We start from the raw sequence: 20,189 nt of genomic DNA on the forward strand, positions 1-20,189 counted from the left end.
ACTGTTTTGTGCTTTTTTTTAGTTACCTTCTTACTTTATAGCAATTGAGAATCATACCCATTTGTGAAAGAGATATATTTCCTTTTTTAAGTGCATTTGCAACTCTAAAAAAGAAAGAAGGAGGGGGAAAAAATCTAAGTAACGAATTTCTTGGTAAAAACATCACACCATTCTACCCATTGCTACAGTTTCTTGAGATCTCCAACAGCCTAGAACTGTGCTGTCCAGCATGGTAGCCACCGGCTGCATGTGACTATGGTCATTTCTATTAACTAAAATTAAAAATTCAGTTCTTCAGTTGTACTCTCCACATTTTAAGTGCTCAAGAGCCACATGTAGCTAAGGGCTACTGTATTGGATGGCACAACCCTAGAGTGTTTCCCCCATCATAGAAAGTTCTACCGGACAGCACTAGCCTAGAATGCCACTCACAGCTCACCTGGCTACTCACCTGATGGCAGTGCTAAAAGGCCTGGCTTCTCTTCAAGTACTGGGCGCTTGGCAGGCTTGGGGAAGCCTAGGGGATCCTTCAGGGCACCCCAAAGGGTTATGCCTCTTGGAGAGGCCTGCCACAAGCAGGGGAGGGAAAAACAGACCTTCGGGGTTGACCAGTCCTGCAGAGAACAAAAACAAAAATATAGACAGGGGTAAACATGATAAATCCAGTTCTGGCTGCTCTCCCCAAAGGGATCTTTCTTCATCTTTAGAGAGGGGCTAAGTAGGAAGTAACCTGCCACTCCCGCCAGGCTCTGACTTAGCCCTGCAAGCTCCACCAAGTCTTCTTTAGACCCAGAGAAAGCCATTAGGGGTCAGCAAACCAGAATCTGGGACCAGATCAGCCCTGCTGCCTGGTTGAGGCCTTCAAGCTAAGAATGGTTTCCCCCTCCCCCAACTTTTTTTTTTTTTGAGACAAAGAATCTTGCTCTGTCAGCCAGGCTGGAGTGCAGTGGCACGATCTTGGCTCACTGCAAATTCCGCCCCTCCGGGTTCAAGCGATTCTCGTGCCTCAGCCTCCTAAGTAGCTGGGATTACAGGCGCCTGCCAGCACACGTGGCTAATTTTTGTATTTTTAGCAGAGACAGGGTTTCACCATGTTGCCCAGGCTGGTCTCAAACTCCTGATCTCAAATGATTCGCCCGCCTTGGCCTCCCAAAGTGCTGGGATTACAGGTGTGAGCCACTGCCCCCGGCCAGTTTTCCTATTTTTAAGTGGTTACATTCTAAACAGTTATGTAAGTATATACATAAAATCCTTGATTTTGGTTCTTGGCCCACAGAGCCTAAAATATTTACTCTCTGGCCCTTTATAAAAAGAAGTTTGTGGCCAGGCGCAGAGGTTCATGCCTGTAATCTCAGTACTTTGGAAGGCCAAGGTGGGAGGATCACTTAAGCCCAGGAGTTTGACACCAGCCTGAGCAACAGGGTGATACCCCTATCTCTGCAAAACAAAATTTAAAAATTAGCCATGCATGGTGGCCATGCATGGAGGCACATGCCTATAGTCCCAGCTACTCAGGAAGCTGAGGTGGGAGGATTGCTTGAGCCCAGCACATTGACACTGCAGTGAGCTATCACTGCATGGCTGAACTCTAGCCTAGGCAACAGAGCAAGATTCTGTCTCTTTAACAACAAACAACAAAAAAGTTTGCAAACCTTTGGTCTAGTCTGAGCCTGTGGTAATGTCCTGGTCCTCCATTCTCCTTTGTACAAGGGGGTTTCGTTCTAAATGTGCTGTTTTGAAGTGTTGTTTTTTTGTTTGTTTGTTTGTTTTTTGACACCTGGAATTCATATTCTTTTTTTTTTTTTTTTTTTTGCTTGTGTGTGTGTGTGTGTGAGTGACAGAGTTTCACTCTTGTTGTCCAGGCTGGAGTGCAGTGGCACAATCTCAGCTCACTGCAACCTCCGCCTCCTGGGTTCAAGTGATTCTCCTGCCTCAGCCTCTCAAGTAGCTGGGATTACAGGCGCCCACCACCATGCCCGGCTAATTTTTTTAGTAGAGACGGGGTTTCACTATGTTGGCCAGGCTGGTCTTAAACTCTTGACCTCAGATGATCCACTACCTCAGCCTCCTAAAGTGCTGGGATTACAGGTGTGAGCCACCACACCCAGCCTGGAACACATATTCTTAAACATTCAAAGCAGTGAAGTTCCCAGATGCGCCATTAATGGCTGAAATCCTCTGCTCCTCAAAAGCTGGCCTCCCTCCAGCCATCCAGAATACTGGCCTGGCACACCACCCAGCACCCAGCCTTGTCCCTCTTGGACAGGCAGGCTGTCCGGCACAGCCCTTACCCTGCTACACAAGACATTTTCTCAAAGTGCTTACCATAAAGGCCCTGAACCGGGCCTTTTGTGAAGGTCAGAAAGAGCTTTGTTCCTAAACTAATGGCAAGGATGGGAGGCAAATGAGAGCAGAAAGATTTCTTCCTGAGCCCTTCTCCCCATTCTCTGCTCACTCCTCACAGGAAAAGTCCAGGTACTCACAATGGGCCTGTGGGTGAGCCAAGAGGGGGCCTGAAGCAGGAGACACACCCAGTCTTAGGGAGGCTTGAGCCCATCGGGAGTTGGGAGGCTGAGTCCAGAGGCCCAGGGAGTGAGGGGAGGACCAGTGGAAGGAAGGGAAAAAGGAAAGGCACAAGAGCAAGGAAGCCCAAATAGGAGGGCATGGGGGTGGGGAGGCAGAACCGGACTCTCACCCATCTCCAAAGGCAACAGGTCAAAAGGGGGTGGGGCACAGAAATGCTCCCCCGCAGGGCTGAGGATCGTCAATACAGGCTGACCTTGACAATCAAAGGCCTGCACATGTACAGCTTCCAAAGCAAGCTGGCATATTCCCTCTATTTGAATCCCCAACAGCAGTCAAGGTTGAAATGTTGTGCTCATAAGAAAGATTTTTGGCTCAAAAATTCCCGGTTCCCATAAAAGGTCAAAGCTGTATTTGACTCTTATTTACAAAGACATCCCCAGATCTAAATTTTATTTAAGGTCCAGGTGAAAGCCACCTTTCCATAAAGATTTCACTGGCAACTTGTTTTTTAACGTGGCAGATTGACAACACACTCTCAGCCGGCCACGGTGGCTCACACCTGTAATCCCAGCACTCTGGGAGGCCAAGGCAGGCAGATCACTTGAGCTCAGGAGTTTGAGACCAGCCTGGCCAACATGCCAAAATCTTGTCTCTACTAAAAATACAAAAATTAGCCAGGCGTGGTGGTGCATCCCTGTAGTCCCAACTACTCCGGAGGCTGAGGCAGGAGAATTGCTTGAACCTGGGAGGTGGAAGCTGCAGAAAGCCAAGATTGTGCCACCACACTCCGGCCTGGGTGACAGAGTGAGACTCCATAAAAATATATATATATATATATATATATATATATATATATATATATATATATATATATATATATAAAACAGCACACGCTGCCATGGCTCTAAACTGCCCGCTGTCTCCGGGGAGCTCTCCGAGAAGCAGAAGAGCTACTCATCTGTTGTGTCCCTAGGGGGAAGCACTGAGCTGGCAGTGGAAGGAGGTGTCCACCAGGCCTATCACCTCACAAACGGGACTTGACAGGAGCTGAAGGAGGGACCCAGGAAGGATTTCCTGCCAGGAGTTGGAAGAAGTGGAGGCAGCTTGCCCACAATGGGGGGGATTCCTGCCTTGAAATGAGGAATGCTCACTGCTGGCTGAAGGATCCAGCATCTCCAAGCCTGGAAAAAGGAAGAAAACAAACGGTTAGCAGAAGTCTGCAGTCCAAGCCAGCAAGCCACACAAAGAACAACAGCCTACTCAAGAAAGATCTTCACGTTCACTGACTTTGAGATTTCTATAATCAAAAAGAAACAAGACTGCTGTGTTTTAAATTCATGGGTTCCCCCTGCCCTGAGAAAGTAGGTACAATAAAATTGCACCAAAATCAATCACATTCTGTGTTTTGTAAGATAAACAATTTCTTTACGGCTTTAACATGGTCCTATAACACAGCCTGCTTCTTTTTCCTAAAAGGGACAAGTGATTATTATTCTCTTCTCACCCACTTAACTCAAAACAAGCAAACGAAAAAGTCACTACTTCAAGGGTTTGGCTTCTAATTGGAATGCTCTTTAAAGTCTTTAAGATTAAGCAGGAGTGGTGGCTCATGCCTGTAGTCCCAGCTATTCCAGAGGCTGAATGAAGCAGGAGGATCGCTTTAGCCCAGGAGTTCAAGACCAGCCTGGGTAACATAGCAAGACCCTGTCTCAAAAAATAAAATAAAACCTTCAAGATTAGGAGTTGCTTCTTCACATTTACCATGTACTTAAAAGTAACCTTACAAATGTCTCAATTAAAAACTGAAATCTAGGCCAGGTACAGTGTCTCATGCTTGTAATCCCAGCACTTTGGGAGGCCAATGTGGGTGGGGTGGATCACTTAAGGTCAGGAGTTTGAGACCAGCCTGGCCAACATGGCAAAATCCTGTCTCTACTAAAAATACAAAAATTAGCCATGTGTGGTGGTGTGTGCCTGTAATCCCAGCTACTCAGGAGGCTGAGGCAGAAGAATCGCTTGAACCTGGGAGGCGGAGATTGCAGTGAGCCAAGATCACACCACTACACTCCAGCCTTGGTGACAGAGCAAGACTCCATCTCAAAACAACAACAACAACAAAAACAAACTATTAAAAAATAAAACTAAAAACAAAAACTGAAATATAGAATCAGGAAAATAAACTGATAGGGAACTGGAACTATTTCTTACACATCCATCTATCTTTAGAGGTCATTCTATTTATATATTTAAAATCTGTTTCAAAAGAAAATTTAGCTTTAGAAGAAGCATTTTTGTCCATAAAGGTGAAATACTGAAACAGTCTATTCCTATCTGAAACACACTCAAATCCAATGCCTCTGTAGGATATACACATTACAGAGGCACATTCTCTCATAAAGGAAAATTTTTTTGGTTTTCCTTCACAAATGGATGTGCAGAAAAAGGACTTTCTGGTATCTGAAATGGGAGGGAAAAGGGACAGCACCAAATACCTCCCAGTTGTCCTTTTCTGGTCTTCAGGCAGTCAGTGATCAGGCTCAACTCATCCCTGTACAAATGTGTCCCCAAATTTAACAGGAAGAGAAGGTGCTGAGTGCACGGAGGCTGGGGTGGCTACGGTGGCACTCCTGTCCTGGAATGTCATCTGCCTGCTCTCCAGCCCTCTGAGAAACTGCAGGACATTCCTGCTGCTCCCACTTAGCAAGAAATCTCCTAAGTGCTTCAGTCACCAGCCCCGGTGCATCCTCGAGGGCACAGGACGATGTACCAGGGACAAGAAGAGCCTGTTTTACCACACGGGCGCCCTGATTTTTAAAAAACACATTTACAAAAAAGGAGAAAAAACCATCAGAAAACACAATTAATCTAGCCACAAGTTGTTTAAACTGTCTCTGCTTTTTGGTGGAGCTGTGACTGTCTATGGATGAGAGTGACTAGGACTCGCAGCAGCAGGGACTCTGAAGGGTTTCAAAATCAAACATTCCATTCTGTTTCAAAACCATAACAACTGGCAGCGTGGCTCCCCACTTCCACACAAACCCTCATTTCACAAGTGGACACCTCCAGGCTAGGCTGACGGGGTGGGGTCGGGGGGATGGAGGTGCTGTGTGTCAATGGGAATTCTTATGTCTAAACAAACCTGGCCTAAAAAAGGGTGAACACTGCTGGCTATTCAAAGACTAAAAAAATGAACTCAAAAGGAGAAGGTGTTTTATTTGGTTCCAGCATCAGGGTGCACAACTGAGATGTGTGTGATTCACAGAAGAAAGAGCCAGGGGCTGGGAATGGCAGCCTTTCCAGAGCGGAGTGGGGACTAGAGAGAGTGTGGCAAGGGACCGCTGTTTTTCTTTTTCTCTTTTTTTTTTTTTTTTTTGAGATGGAGTTTCGCTCTTGTCACCCAGGCTGGAATGCAATGGTGTGATCTCGGCTCACTGTAACCTCTGCCTCCCGGGTTCAAGTGAATCTCCTGCTTCGGCCTCCTGAGTAGTGGGATTACAGGTATGCGCCACCACGCACGACTAAGTTTGTATTTTTAGTAGAGACGGCATTTCACCATGTTGGTTGGGCTGGTCTCGAACTCCTAACCTCAGGTGATCCACCTGCCTTGGCCTCCCAAGTGCTGGGATTACACGTGTGAGCAACTGTGCCCGGCTTGACCGATGTTTTTCATTGTGAACCTTGTACTGCTCATTTTTCCTCTAACTTTGTACAGGCAATGCATTAATAAAACAGATAGACAAACAGATGGACGTGCCAATGCTGGGCTTCAAGCACCCTCACTGCAGCATGCAGGGTAACCCACTTCCTCTGCGTGGTTCTGCTGTCTTCAGCTCAGCCCTGTGGGATCTTAAGCCATGGAAAGGCCTTTCCAGGTCAGGTTGGGAATGCTCCAGGCTCTAAATACTACATATAAAATAAACTTGAGACACCAAGAGTGGCTTTCCCATAACTTAATGATTGTAGTCAACACATAGATGTCTTGTAATCTCTCCCAGGTTTATCTGCTGAGAATAAGACTTCATAAAAGTTTAATCTTGGACGGGAGTCCCCTACCCTGGCTTGCCATAGATCATCAAGTTCTGAACAAATTTAGCACCCAAAAGGCATACAGAGCTGCAGTGGAGATTACAGCATTGGCTAAATCTTAAACTGTGTCTATTAAGGTTACATTCAGGAAGAAACAGGAATACGTATTTGCCTTCAGGCTCTGAAGTTTCATTGTTTGACTGTTTTAAGTATTTGTCTTGGCACATGCTTCTTAATAATGGCCGCATGCAAAGTATGAAATGAACTGTTGGCCACAAAGCATTGTGAAAGAGAACCCAGCTAAGAGTAATTTACTAAAACAGATGTAGCTTTCTGGAGAAAACAGTATTCTTTTTATTTATGATTTGAGTTCAATAATTAAATTAATGGATGACAAATGAAATGTGTCCCTAACAATACTATTCTGGACACGAAAAAGAAACTATTTTCTGAATTTGTAATATGTTAAAAGTAAATTATATGCTTTTTTGAAGTAGCGCTAGTTTTGTTGAAGTATTTTAGTAGTCAACAAATTATTCAACCTACTTACTTCAGTGATAATTTCCTAAATGATCTTGCACGAATGTAAACACTTAAGTAACTAGACGTAATTAGTCCTTTTCCACAACCAGCTCAAATTAAACTGTTCCTCACGCCAGGAGACTGGGATCTGTACTTAGTGAAAGTCTGTGTTCTTTTACATTTCCAGAACTTATGTATGACATAAATGTGGGTTAGATTGATAAATTAAATTAGCCATTATTAGCTGAGAAAAACCATAATTTTACACTCTTGAGAGTAGTGTGGAGCAAGAGCTGGCCAGGTGGAGATACGGAAGCACAGTAAATAGAAAGGTGGGAATAGAGTTGTCCCGGCATCCCTGAGATGATGGGGCACAAATGTCCTTCACTTTTCACTCTTCAGACCCAATATTATGCCTGGATTTAGAACACTAACCCTGCATTCCCTTCTCTGCAGGCTCTGGAAGCTACAGGTATGATATAAATCTAGCTACTGGTGCTCTCTACACTCAAGGGAAGGTTCGCCCAACCTAGCAATGAAAATCCAACGCTGCTAAGGAGACATGAGCTGGGACGGATGATCCAGGGCCTGTTGGAGAAGTCTGCCTGATGGCTGCTTACCTACAGAGAAAAGAAGCAGCACTGGCCTGACATCATTCACAGTGCCTAGCATACAGGAGGCACTCAATATGTCTGAACTGACTAGAGCAGTACCGGGAACTTCTGCAAAGAAGAAAGGAATGGAAAACCCATGTTTGTTGGGATGGGATTGCAGGTGAGCTGTAAAGGAGGCTCTTTGCAAGGCAGCCCCCTCCCCTCTTGAAAGGGAGAGGAACAGCAGTTTAAGTGCCTGCAGCTGGGAGGAATACCATTCCCAGTGTCCATCTACTGTCCAGGGCAGGAGATGGGGCTGAGACAGGTGGAAGCAGCAGGTGTGACCAGGAAGAAGGAGATGAAGGGTGGTCTAGAATGTGTTCATCTGCCTAAGTCTGTATATTCTAGGGAGGAGAAGAGTGGTCATTTTTGTGCATTCTCATAAGCCTAACAATAATGGAATGGATGAGATCTTATAGACAAGGCAAAGCTGATAAGAAAGGAAGTCTAAGAGAATGCAGGGTATCGCTAAGGGTAGAAAAGCTGGGGGTGGAATTTGGTCAAAATTTCTGAGTAAGTCTTTAATCCCAGTACTGCGGAAGGCCAAGGCAGGCAGATCACATGAGCTCAGGAGTTTGAGATCAGCCTGGCCAACATGGCGAAACCTCGTCTCTACTAAAAATACAAAAATTAGCCGGGTGTGGTGGTGTGTGCCTGTAATCCCAGCTACTTGGGAGGCTGAAGCAGGAGAATCGCTTGGACCCGAGAGGCGGAGGTTGCAGTGAGCTGAGATCCCACCATTGCACTTCAGCCTGGGCGATAGAGAGAGACTCCATCTCAAAAAAAAAAAAAATGCCAGATAAGAGGACTGAATTGATTACCTAATATATTGGCTGAGATGTTTTGGGTTCTTAAGTAAGAAGCAATGAAAATGATGTAAGCTTCAGTTATTAGTAATACACAGGAGAGTACTTTGTGATTTTTTTTCCGCAATTAGATTCAGTTTAGTCATTGACCAACATGAACCTTCAAAGTGTACCGGTGTACAAAGAAAAAACATTACATTTTTTAAGTAGGATATATTTTAAGTGATGTGATAGACTTTTGAAGCATAATTAAGGTGCAAGAAAAAAAGTTTTACGTTGGACTGTTCAACAAGAATACATAATGGGGAACCATCATCTTTCACTCCTTGGAGTGCACAAGTAAGACCCAATCAGAGGTAAGGTGGATTGTTTCCACCACGAGGCCATGATCCCACAAACGATGACCTATAACTGCTGCATATTCCCTTAAAACACACACACACAAGGTTACTTTCAGTCAAAGAAAAGAATCTATGTCACCAAGCAGTTGTTATATAGATAATTTGATCCACAAATTTAAGTAAGTAAGGGATAAGATCCTATATTTTTACTGTATTTAGGTAAGTGAGATATAAGATGTTATACATTTTTTTAAATCATGCATGGGCTCAGCACGGTGGCTCACACCTGTAATCCCAGCACTTTGGGAGGCCAAGGCAGGAGAATCATTTGAGCCCAGGAGTTCAAGACCAGCCTGGGCAACATAGTAAGACCCCCCCATCTCTACAAATAATTTAAAAAAAATTTAACCGAGCATGGTGGCATGTGCCTGTGGTCCCAACTACTCTAGAGACTGAGGCAGGAGGATCACTTGAGCCTGGGTGGTTGAAGCTATGGTGAGCTATGATCACACCACTGTACTCCAGCTTGGGTGACACAGCAAGACCCTGTCTCAAAAAAAAAAAATCACGCAAGTCTCACAACTTGTTTTCACTCTTAGACACACTGAAACACTGAAGGCTATGCAGTCTGTCTGATGGAATCAATTAAGGGAACTGGAAGCAACTCTGGCGAACAGGAAACTTACTTTTTTGAAGATGTAGTGTCTTCATAGGGTTGACTATGTCTATGATTGTATAAAGAAAGCAGGAGATGTGTTTTCGTTTGACATGATACACTGGGTAAGCACCATGAATGTTCTTTCTCAAAATGAAAACATTTTTAAAATGTCCTTTTTCAAAATGGAAACATTCAAGTGTTATTTGATGAAGTCATTTCAATTGAAAGATCACAAAAGAAGATAAAAGATGATTTTAAAGAACAGATGAGAAAAGTACATTCAGAAAAATGAGAGAAGGCTCATCCACAGTTAGTTCCCAGGACAGACCCATACTTGTGGTCGTTACCACCAAGATGATTCCTTGCTAAAGAGTAAAAGAATGAGCTCATGCTGTCCTCTCAACACTTTGGGAGGCCGAGATGGGAAGATCGCTTGAGGCCAGGAGTTTGAGACCAGCCTGGGTAACATAGCGAAACCCTGTCTCTACAGAAAAAATTTAAAAAATTAGCCTGGTATGGTGACACAAGCCTGTAGTCCTAAGAGTCAGGAGGCTGAGGCAGAAGGATCACTTTAGGCCAGGAGTTCAAGGCTGCAGTGAGCTACAATGAGACCCTACCTCATTCATTCATTCATACACATATACACAAGTGAAAGTGAAGGAATTACACGGAAGCCACTTTAGCCAACATCGCCCATCCTATAACTAATGCTGGATCAATACCCGAAGTCATCTCATCTCTCATTTCCTCAGCCCCAGTCTCCTAGTCCCAGGGAATCTGTCCTAGGCCTCTCCACTGGGTTCATGCCTCCATTCTTGCCCAACGTTTGCTTAGAAACTTGCAAAGGCCTCTACCACAATTTCTTTTCCCACTCCAATCCGTCCTACACTTCAGCCTCTGAGTAATCTTGTTAAAAGTATTACTTTCAAAAACGCCACAGTAACTGCTCGGCATCCTAAATGTCTTACCCTAGCACTCACAGTCCTGGCAAGACAGGGCTTCAACCTATCTTCACATGTTTTGTAACCTACTGGGCCCCAGACATCCTATTCTCTTCCCAAATGTAATTTCTTGTGATCCTTGGACTCTCTCCACCCTTTTCTTCCAGCTGTGTCCTCTCTGCCTGTCTGTTTGCTGGACACATACCAGCCCTTCCCTCAAAGGCTCAGTTCAAATGATGTTACTCCCTGAAACCCCCTTGATTTATCTCCTTGAACCCCTTACAATGGTAATCCACTCTTCCTCAATTGTACCCTCTTCCTAGAGTGGAAAAACCCTCTTAGCATGTCAGGACTTCTATTGTTATTTATGTACATGTTTTATCTTATTAGGCTGCATGACCTACGAATAAGAATTATTACTTAATTATGTTCCTTCTTGTGCAAGCACAGAGCTCTACATATAACACGTGCACATTAAATGTATGTTTTGTGAATTACAAATTAATACGATAATAGGAAAAATGCTTTTCTGGTAATTTAGAAAAGGATGGATGATTCCAGAAAATAAATTCAAAAGGAAAGCAAGAAAAACACAACATGGTTCATATCTACGGAGTGACAGCCTGTGATTCAAAATGATCACAAAAATAAGTCACATTTGGATAGCATGATTTGAAAATTAATTACTGTTTTGGAGTATAAAGGGATGGATTAGCCAACTAATTTATCACCACACACCTTCCTGACATCAGAGTGACAGCAGAGCCAGCAACATGCCCCAGCTCAAGGGTTCCCGGGTGGCTGCAGTCTACATGGCGGCCGAAGAGTTCCAAAGCTGCTTCCACCCAGTCCCCTAATGCATGGCTAACTGCTAGAACCCAGATCACCAGGCTGGGTGACATCTGAGGAGTCCTTTCTAAACGCCACTCCAGGTGGAGGGGGAGAAGAAACACAACCTCCATGCCTCTCCACTACAAAAGGCAGCCCTCAAATCAACACCAGTGGGCCCAGCTCTGTAGATGGCAAGGTGGCAAGAATATCAGGGCTGTGTAAGTCCAATGGCAGCTGGTGTCAGTCACAATTCTAAAAGAATCACACGGCAGATGCAGTGGCTCACACCTGTAATCCCAGCACTTTGGGAGGCCAAGGCAGGAGGATTGCAGGAAGCTGTCAGTTCGAGACCGGCCTGGACAACATAGTCAGACCACCCCATCTCTAAATTTAAAAACTAAAAACAAATAAAAGAAGGACTAGGAATGGTAGCTCATGCCTCTAATCCCAGCACTTTGGGAGGCTGACGCAGGTGGATCACTTGAGGTCAGCAGTTCGAGACCAGCCTGGCCAACATGGTGAAACCCCATCTCTACTAAAAATACAACAACAACAAAAAAAATTTAGCTGGGTGTGGTGGCGTGCGCCTGTAATCCCAGCTTCTCAGAAAGCTGAGGCAGGAGAATCACTTGAACCCCAGAGGCAGAGGTTGCAGTGAGGCCAAGATTGCACCGCAGTACTCCAGCCTGAGTAACAGAGTGAGATTCTGTCTCAAAAAAAACCTTTTTTAAAATCATAAGATGCTACAAGTCAGATATGATGGTTGCCACAAGTCTTGAGAAAGGGAATCTGGTCAAAGATTAATGCAGTGACCCTGGGTGATGCACAGTATTGTAGCAAAGTATTGCAGCTTTGCAAGAAACAAAGCTACCGTGAATGCTGGGTCTTTACTGCCTCTGGGTTCAAAATTGGTTTAAATTACTATATGATCAAATTAATCCTGGGCACGTCTGGTGGTCTTTCAATTATTAAAAAGAAATTCCATCATTTTTGAATGTAAAAGGAATTGTCCTCTCCACCCGCATGCTGTGACTGACCTCATTTCTTCTAGTACATCATCTCCCAAGGTCCAACCCTAATACCCTCCGAATGAGATGGGGCTGTATTATTGCTTTCAAAAACTCTTAGAGAACAGATGCTTTCTACAGATAAAGTCAATTTCTGCAAAGAGGATATCATGATAAACATTCTGAGTCATCTGAATTTAAGGTTGCAGATTTTCATATTAAAAAGGTGAGAAAGCCCAGGGCAGAGCTGTGTCCCGTGTGTGCCTGGTCTTCTGTGCTGGGACTGTCCGTGCTCATCAAGCCTGGGTCAGCGTCCCTTGTTGAGCAGCTAGCTCAGAGTAAGTGTGCATCCCCCCACCTGGCCATTTGTCTACACGCCAGGCTGTTTGCCAAGCATGGTGAAACCTGACATCACCCAGAGACACAGTTATCATCACATATTAAGTCTGTCTGTCCTCAAGATAGGGGACAGAAGCAAACCAACATGTCTAACACAGCAGAGCGAGTGCCAGCCAATGCTCCCTGACACCAGGACACTACATGGGCCCAGGGGACAAGCTGAACACAGCTGAGAGGGCAGGGGCAGTGGGGCAGGATGCCCAGAGGACCAGGCTGCCACTGTGCTTAAGTTGTCCACATGAGTTCAGCAGGCGGAGAGGAGGGAACAGGCACCCCAGACTAAAGACAAAATCACACAGATAAAGGCAGAGAGGAGTTGGAGAAGCAGTTCAGAAATGAGATAAATCCTTCTTTGAAAGCTCAGCAGCTGTCAGTGCCCAGGGGCAGTGGTTTTGCCTGTTGTGTTCACCAAAGTATCCCCAGAGCCCAGAATAGTGCCTGGCACATGGTACCTACTCCCCATCCCCCAAAATAGCTTTGAACTTTTTTTCTGATTGAGAAATTGATAGATGTTCATTGAAAAAAAGAAAACCCTCAAGCAATACAGAAAAGATGCATAAGACAGTAATCTTCAGAAACATCCCCACCCTCAGGTCACTCCAGTACCACCAGCGACGCTACCACCAGTGACGCCAAGAGCATCATTCTCGCAGTTCCTAAAGCAGTGTTCTCACAGAGCACTGCGGGAGGCCCAGCTCTCAGTGACTGGCGTGCTCAAGGCTGGACACTAAATTATTCGGTTTGTACACAATCTCATTTGACACGCTACAAAGAAATAACGCTACTTCGGTTTTTTGTCGATACAAACAATAACACGATCCAAAGGCCTCTCTCACTTCCACTCTTTCTGAATCACTTGATAAAAGGGCTGGAAAAGCTTCTCTTTTTGAGTGTCCCTGATGTTGGCATCATCTGAAAAACATCTATGCGTTTGTGTTTTTGCACAGCCCAAAAAGCAATTGCTGAAGGTTTTCAGGGTCTCTTTCCAAAAGGGTAAATGAAAGACAACACCGCTACCAAGAACAGACGAGAAACTCACTAGAACTGCGACAGGATTCATTTTGTTTGTTTTTGTTTTTGTTTTTGTTTTGAGGTGGAGTCTCGCTCTGTCACCGAGGATGGAGTGCAATGGCGCTTTCTCGGCGCTCTGCAACCTCTGCCTCCTGGGTTCAAGCAATTCTCCTGTCTCAGCCTCCCAAGTAGCTGGGATTACAGGCACCCACCACCACGCCCAACTAATTTTTGTATTTTTAGTAAAGACGGGGTTTCACCATATTAGTCAGGCTGGTTTCGAACTACTGACCTGCCTCAGTCCTCATCCACCTGCCTCGGCTTCTCAAAGTGCTGGGATTACAGGCATGAGCCACGGCGCCTGGCCAACAGGATTCTTACTGAAGGGAGAGCACCAGGGTCGCCGCTCCGGTTGTCTTCATTCCCTTTTGAAGAATCAGCCACATTTCCCCCGTAATCCCTCAATGCTGTTAAATATGCATTGAAATTATTTTTCAATATTTCATAAAATATTCATAATTTCATAACTGAAAAATATGAAAATATTTTTTCAAATATTTTGCGGATGTATTTTCCCCTCTAAGTGTACCCCCAAAAGCCAAAAAGCAAATACCAGATCACCCAGCGCAATCTATAGTCACTAAAGCCTGTGTCTATCTGCAGGTAAATGTCGCTCCATAGTCTGCTCTGCTCTTATTTTAGTGTTTTATAAATTTCTAGGATTTTCTGCCCTTTCCATTTGTTTCCTCTTGCCCATGGAGATGAAAAGTGCTATATGGAGCCACTGATCTTTGTTATAGATTAGATAGAAAGATAGCTAGAGCTATATATTCACACTTTAAGGTGTTTAGTCCAAAGGGTTTGAGATAATTTTATCAGAAGCGTTCATCTTTAAAATTGGGGATGCTCCTCTTGGAAGGTCTTCATTGGATATGGATATGAGTAAAGAATGAGTGAACAAGATCTGCTCCCTTTACTTATAAACGCTCCACAGCGCCTGTGAGCAGGCTATTTTCCCTTGCTAAAGACATGCAAAATAGTGCACAGATGCTGGGTCATCTATCAGCTGTCTAAATAGTCCCTTTTGCTGTGATTTAACAGAAGAAAGGGAGAAGTAGATGTACGCTGTACCCTAAATCAGGCATTTTTACTGTGGCTCCCCAGGATCCAGACACCAATGTTTCTGTCCACAAGGAATGTCCTGACAGGGACTGAACCACGCTGGCGGGCAGCAATTAGCTGTTATCTAGCAAGAGGCGTCAGGCTGCACGGCGAGGCGGCCCCGAAGTGCACTCCGCAAACCATGACTACTCAGCAAGCTGCCTGCGAGCGTTCGTCCCTGTGCTTCCCCCCTTTCCGATGTTTATTCGGGTTGCTGTCCACAGCCAGCCTCCCAACAGACATTTCCAAGCAAAGCTCTTGCCTGAGTCCATGCCTCCCGCTACTGCCCTGAGAATCCTGAGCTGCACACAATGCTTCCCTCTCCGGAGCAGGCTTCATTTGTCTATTTGTCTTTGACCAACACCGGCCATTGATTCTAGAGGCCGTTCTGTAAGCCAACTGCTTTTCCTAACCCTTGCTGCCTTTTGTTCTTGCTGGCTTTCCCTCACACTTTCTACACTTTCTTTTGTTGTTATCATTGTTGTTTTTAGAGACAGGCTCTTGCTCTGTTGCCCACAGCCTGGGCACGATCAGTAGCGCGATCCTGACTCACTGTAGCCCAGAACTCCTGGGCTCAAGGGATCCTCCCACCTTAGCCTCCCAAGCAGGTGGGAGTATGGGTGCACGCCACCATACCTAGCTAATCTTTTTATTTTTTGTAGAGATGGGGTCTCACTAAGTTGCCCAGGCTGGTCTCAAACTCCTGGCTTCAAGTGATCCACCCACTTCAGTCTTCCAAAGTGGTAGGATTACAGGCATGAGCTACCATACCTGGCCATAGACACTTTCTTTTAATGAAGTGGTAGGTAAACACCACCACCACCAAACAATTAGAGGTGACTGTGAGGAGCCTGGGAAGCCAGTACCTGGTCATCCAGGGAAGGCAGCCTAATGTTGACAATGCAATTGGGTTTGAATCTCAGCTCTGTCGCTTACAAGCTGAGTAGCCTTGATTAAGTTACTTGACATCATCATGACTATTTCCTCACCTGTAACACGGGGATTATTAATCGACCCTACCTCTTAGTGCTATTATGAGATTGAATGAACTAATACAGGCAATATCCTCAGAATGGTGCCTGATGCAGTGTGGGCCCTGAGTCAGTGTTGGCCATTGTGATCCATCTCTGCCTTTAGGTTTCTTTCAGGTCAAGGCTAAGAAGATCTCCTTCAGAAGACCACCCAACAGTGCAGGTATTCCAGGTCTCATCTTCAGGAAATGTTACTGAGAAGAACTAACCTCCATGAACAGTCACTCCTGAATTCTACACTTCCAAGTGCTTCCGCAGTCGAGGAAAGCATTTTTCAATTCTGAATTATTAATCTAATCTGACACAAATCTCATCTTTAATGCAAGTGAGAGAGAGGCCCTGTCAAGGTTCATATATATAAAAATCAATTCAAATACAGTTCAAGGAAAACTGTTTTTACCAAAACTACAGAGAAAGATTTAAGGCAAGAATCTTAAACTGCCATGTTGATTTACCCATGTAGTTACTTAGAGGAACTTCACTGCTGAATATAAAAGCCAGAGTAAACAAAATAAAGTCGCCTTCAAAAGTGATTTATATACTCGAGGCCAGGTGTGGTGGCTCATGCCTATAATCCCAGCACTCTGGGAGGCCGAGGCAGGCAGATCACTTGAGGTCAGGAATTCAAACCAGCCTGGCCAATATGGTGAAACCCTGTCTCTACTAAAATACAAAAATTAGCCAAGTGTGGTGGTGCATGCCTGTAGTCCCAGCTACTCAAGAGTCTGAGGCAGGAGAATAGCTTGAACCTGGGAGGAGGAAGTTGCAGTGAGCCGAGATCGCACCCCTGCATTCCAGCCTGGGCAATAGACTGAGACTCCGTCTCAACTTAAAAAAGAGAAAAAAAAGTGATTTACATACTCGAGAATGCTACGCAGTGGTTACAAACAATGAGGATGAAGACTCCTTCATGATACACAGTTAAGTGAAAGAAACAAGTCCAGGACAATATGCCAGGGCCAGCCATTTCAGTTAAAAAAAAAAAGGGTGGGGGGAAATGGGAGAGTGGGAGAGTTCTGAAAAGGGATTTTTATTTTATCTTTTTATTTTTTGTAGAGACAGGGTCTCACTATGTTGCCCAGACTGGTCTCAGACACCTAGCTTTTGATCTTCCCTTTTTCATTTTTGTTAAGACCCTTTTCGTTCAAGGGTCTGCTATGGATAACCCACTTTTTATTATTACATGCTCTTATAGATCTATCCATTCCTGGGGTAAAAAAAAAAATCCAGTTTTAAGTGACTTATATTTTTATTTGGCTCTGGAGTTCTGATTTGTATCACAATAGAATACATTTACATTCTTGAGCATATACCAATGGTTAGAGGGTAGCAAAATCAAGAGGGTGAGGTGTGAGGGTGTGGAGGAAGGGATTCAAGAGTCTGCTGTGGATAACCCACAAAGCAGGTGACCCACACCAAAACAATGGAAGAACAAAAAGGCCTGGGGGGCTAAGTCCTTCAGTCTGTAGGTATATTTTAGCCACTAAAGTCTAAGTGACTACAGAAAGGTAAAAGTTAAAGCAGAATGGCTTAATCTGATCAACTTGAACTGAGGGACTTCCCAAAAGCAAATATTAATGACATCAATTTTAACAAACATCTAAGTCTGCACAGTAAGAAAGCATTTGAATTACTACTAAAGCTTTTAGCAAATTGTGCCACGACAATAAAATTTTACCTTAGCATGTCTTCACCCTCCTTTAAGTAGCCCTCTTGGGGTGAATAAGAAGTTGGCAGAAAAGGTTTATATGGCTTACTGCAAAAAAAAAAAAAAGACAAAATTACACTTCAGAAGAAATTATTTCCCATAGTTCCTACATTAGTTTCCACAGTTCTGGTACACTCAGGGGTGATTAAATCCTCAGTTAAACTGGATTTTAAAATCTCAAACAATGGCCTTTCTCAAGGTTTGTTTTTTTTTTTTTCAGAAGCTCTAACTCTATTTTGTAATGCCTATTTCTATTTCTGCCTAGCTTGTTTGTTCAACTACTTTTGCAGAGTTGACAACTGAACGCACAGCGCTGGCTCAGGGAGAGGCAGGAAACTCACCAGCAGAAAAGGGCTTCCACACAATGCATCTGATTTGCCCAACTGAACGAAACTCAACCCGAAAGTAAATAGGTAAATGCCGGTAGTAATTGGCAGTTATAAAAAACAAGCATCACTGGTTTTGTTTAAAATGTCTCTTTGATAGATGCTCCCTCAATAGCACTATAAATTTTTGTGGATCATCTGCCACCTTTAATGTATCTGACACTGACTTCACAATGGAGCTTGTGATAGAAAATTCCTACACAATCCATGTGCATACATTCCAAGTGTTAAATAACCTCAAGTAAGACCATTTTTATGAATATTTACATGCCAAATATATTTTGAAGTACGTAGCCACCATCTTCCTCATTTAAGAGCTATATAGTTAACATAGCTCTAAATCTAAGATGAAAATAAGGGGCAAAACCAAAGAAGAAAATGCTTGCTCCAAACCATTAGCTGAAAGAGACTAGGAGCTGTCCAAGATGAACTGCAATGAATTTGGACTGAGAGGGTTAAAGAGTTATCAGAAAGCATTCCGTTTCCAGTAAGGATGAGCACAGATGCTCTGCTCGACCCTCTTCTCAATGCTCCTCGCCAAGTTTGAAGGCCACGAGAAGGAATAAGCAGATGGTTCAATGTGAGTAAGTCAAAAGGAAGTTGCATTTGCCTTATTCCGCTTCCTAGCAACTAAACCAAATGATGCCAAGAAAGCCAGCCGGCTCTAAGGAGGAACGCTGCAGGGGATTTGAAACCCAGCGGTCAGGCAGAGCAGAGAAGGCCTCAAGACACCTTCACCTGGCACAGCAAATCCCCTGCCTACCAACGCCCACCCTTCCCACTCCCCTCACAGTTCCAGCACCAGCCTACCTGCCCATGCTAACATCAATCTCCTGACTGTCCATTTCACGACAACCTTCCAAATTCCAGCGACATCAGTGAGCAGTCTGGCCCAGCCATCAAAGAATAAGCCCCCACTTCTCCATGGGAAGGAAGGCCCCATGCACTCTCAACACACTTCGGCCAGCTGGACAAAGAATTCTACAGGCCAAGAGGCAGCATCCTTACCACCCGTGGGCCCAAGTGCTGCAAAAGGCAGGCAACACACACCGGCTGGAATCCCAGAAGCCTGGGAAACCTGCCTCTTGGAGCCAGAGTGTGTTCCTGTTCTCCCTAAAAACAGACTAAGCAGTCCCTAAGGAGGCTAGGGATTCCCAAACAGGCCACGTCGAGGAATTACATTCAGGCAGGAATTGCCTTGGTGGAAGTACATAAATATGCATATGAAATACATCCCCACTACAGTACAAATGACTGAAGCAAGGCTGAGGCATTGTTTTTGTTTTTGAGATCTAGTCTCGCCCTGTTGCCCAGGCTGGATTGCAATGGCGCGATCTTGGCTTATTGCCTCCTGGGTTTAAACGATTCTCTCGCCTCAGCCTCCAGAGTAGCTGGGATTAGAGGCACCTGCCACCATGCCCAGCTAATGTTTGTATTTTTAGTAGAGACGGGGGTTTCACCATGTTGGCCAGGCTGGTCTTGAACTCCTGACCTCGTGATCCACCCTCCTTGGCCTCCCAAAATGCTGGGATTACAGGCGTGAGTCACTGCACCTGGCCTGAGACATTGTTAACCACTGCGAGGTTACCCTAAGCCCTGGCAAAGCCACTGCATTTCACCATATTCTCTGTGGCCTCCCTCTAACGGTGGCATCCATGAAAATGTCAATTCTTCTCCTAGTCACTAAGTGGGTAGCAGGTCAACCACTGTTAAATAGAAAATGCAGCTTATAATTACAAGTATAACCCTGGAAGATTAATACATTATCCCAGATATTCAATAAATAAAGATGTTTTCAATGCATTATATTTAAGCTTTATAACAACCACACAAGCTGGGTAATATCAACCTCTCCACACATACCTTTCAAAAACAGAGGAGGGGCCGGGAGTGGTGGTGGTATGCTTGTAGTCCCAGCTACTCAGGAGGCTGAGGCAGGAGGATCACCTGAGGCCAGGAGTTGGAGGCTGCAGTGTGCTGTGATTGCTCCTGCACTGCACTGCAGCCTGGGCAACACAGCGGATCCCATCCTCTAAAACAAACAAATAAAAGTTTTTAAACAGATGACAAAACTGAGGCTCAACTCAGATGACTTGCCCCACAACTAAGCCGTGAAGCCTAAATTCAAATCCAAGTCGGTCTGACTTTAAAACCTAGATTTCTTTTAATACATTACAGCCCA

At 44.6% G+C, this 20,189-nt stretch overlaps 1 pseudogene, besides 3 other annotated features; it reads right to left on the reverse strand.

Annotated features, from left to right (window-relative positions):
- NCOA5LP (nuclear receptor coactivator 5 like, pseudogene) lies at positions 444-14,189 on the reverse strand (annotated as a pseudogene).
- Positions 1,541-1,600: a silencer, noted in NCBI's record as "silent region_7464". NCBI's record gives its function as "represses an Ori minimal core promoter by ATAC-STARR-seq in GM12878 lymphoblastoid cells {active_cell/tissue: GM12878}" and the evidence as "EXISTENCE:reporter gene assay evidence [ECO:0000049][PMID:35858748]".
- Positions 18,332-18,832: an enhancer, noted in NCBI's record as "H3K4me1 hESC enhancer chr16:50006784-50007284 (GRCh37/hg19 assembly coordinates)". NCBI's record gives its function as "activates a minimal SCP1, AML or CMV promoter by ChIP-STARR-seq in naive H9 embryonic stem cells {active_cell/tissue: H9 hESC(naive)}" and the evidence as "EXISTENCE:reporter gene assay evidence [ECO:0000049][PMID:30033119]".
- Positions 18,833-19,333: an enhancer, noted in NCBI's record as "H3K4me1 hESC enhancer chr16:50007285-50007785 (GRCh37/hg19 assembly coordinates)". NCBI's record gives its function as "activates a minimal SCP1, AML or CMV promoter by ChIP-STARR-seq in naive H9 embryonic stem cells {active_cell/tissue: H9 hESC(naive)}" and the evidence as "EXISTENCE:reporter gene assay evidence [ECO:0000049][PMID:30033119]".

The sequence above is a fragment of the Homo sapiens genome, chromosome 16, assembly GCF_000001405.40.
Source record: "Homo sapiens chromosome 16, GRCh38.p14 Primary Assembly".
In the NCBI taxonomy this organism is placed as follows: domain Eukaryota; kingdom Metazoa; phylum Chordata; class Mammalia; order Primates; family Hominidae; genus Homo; species Homo sapiens.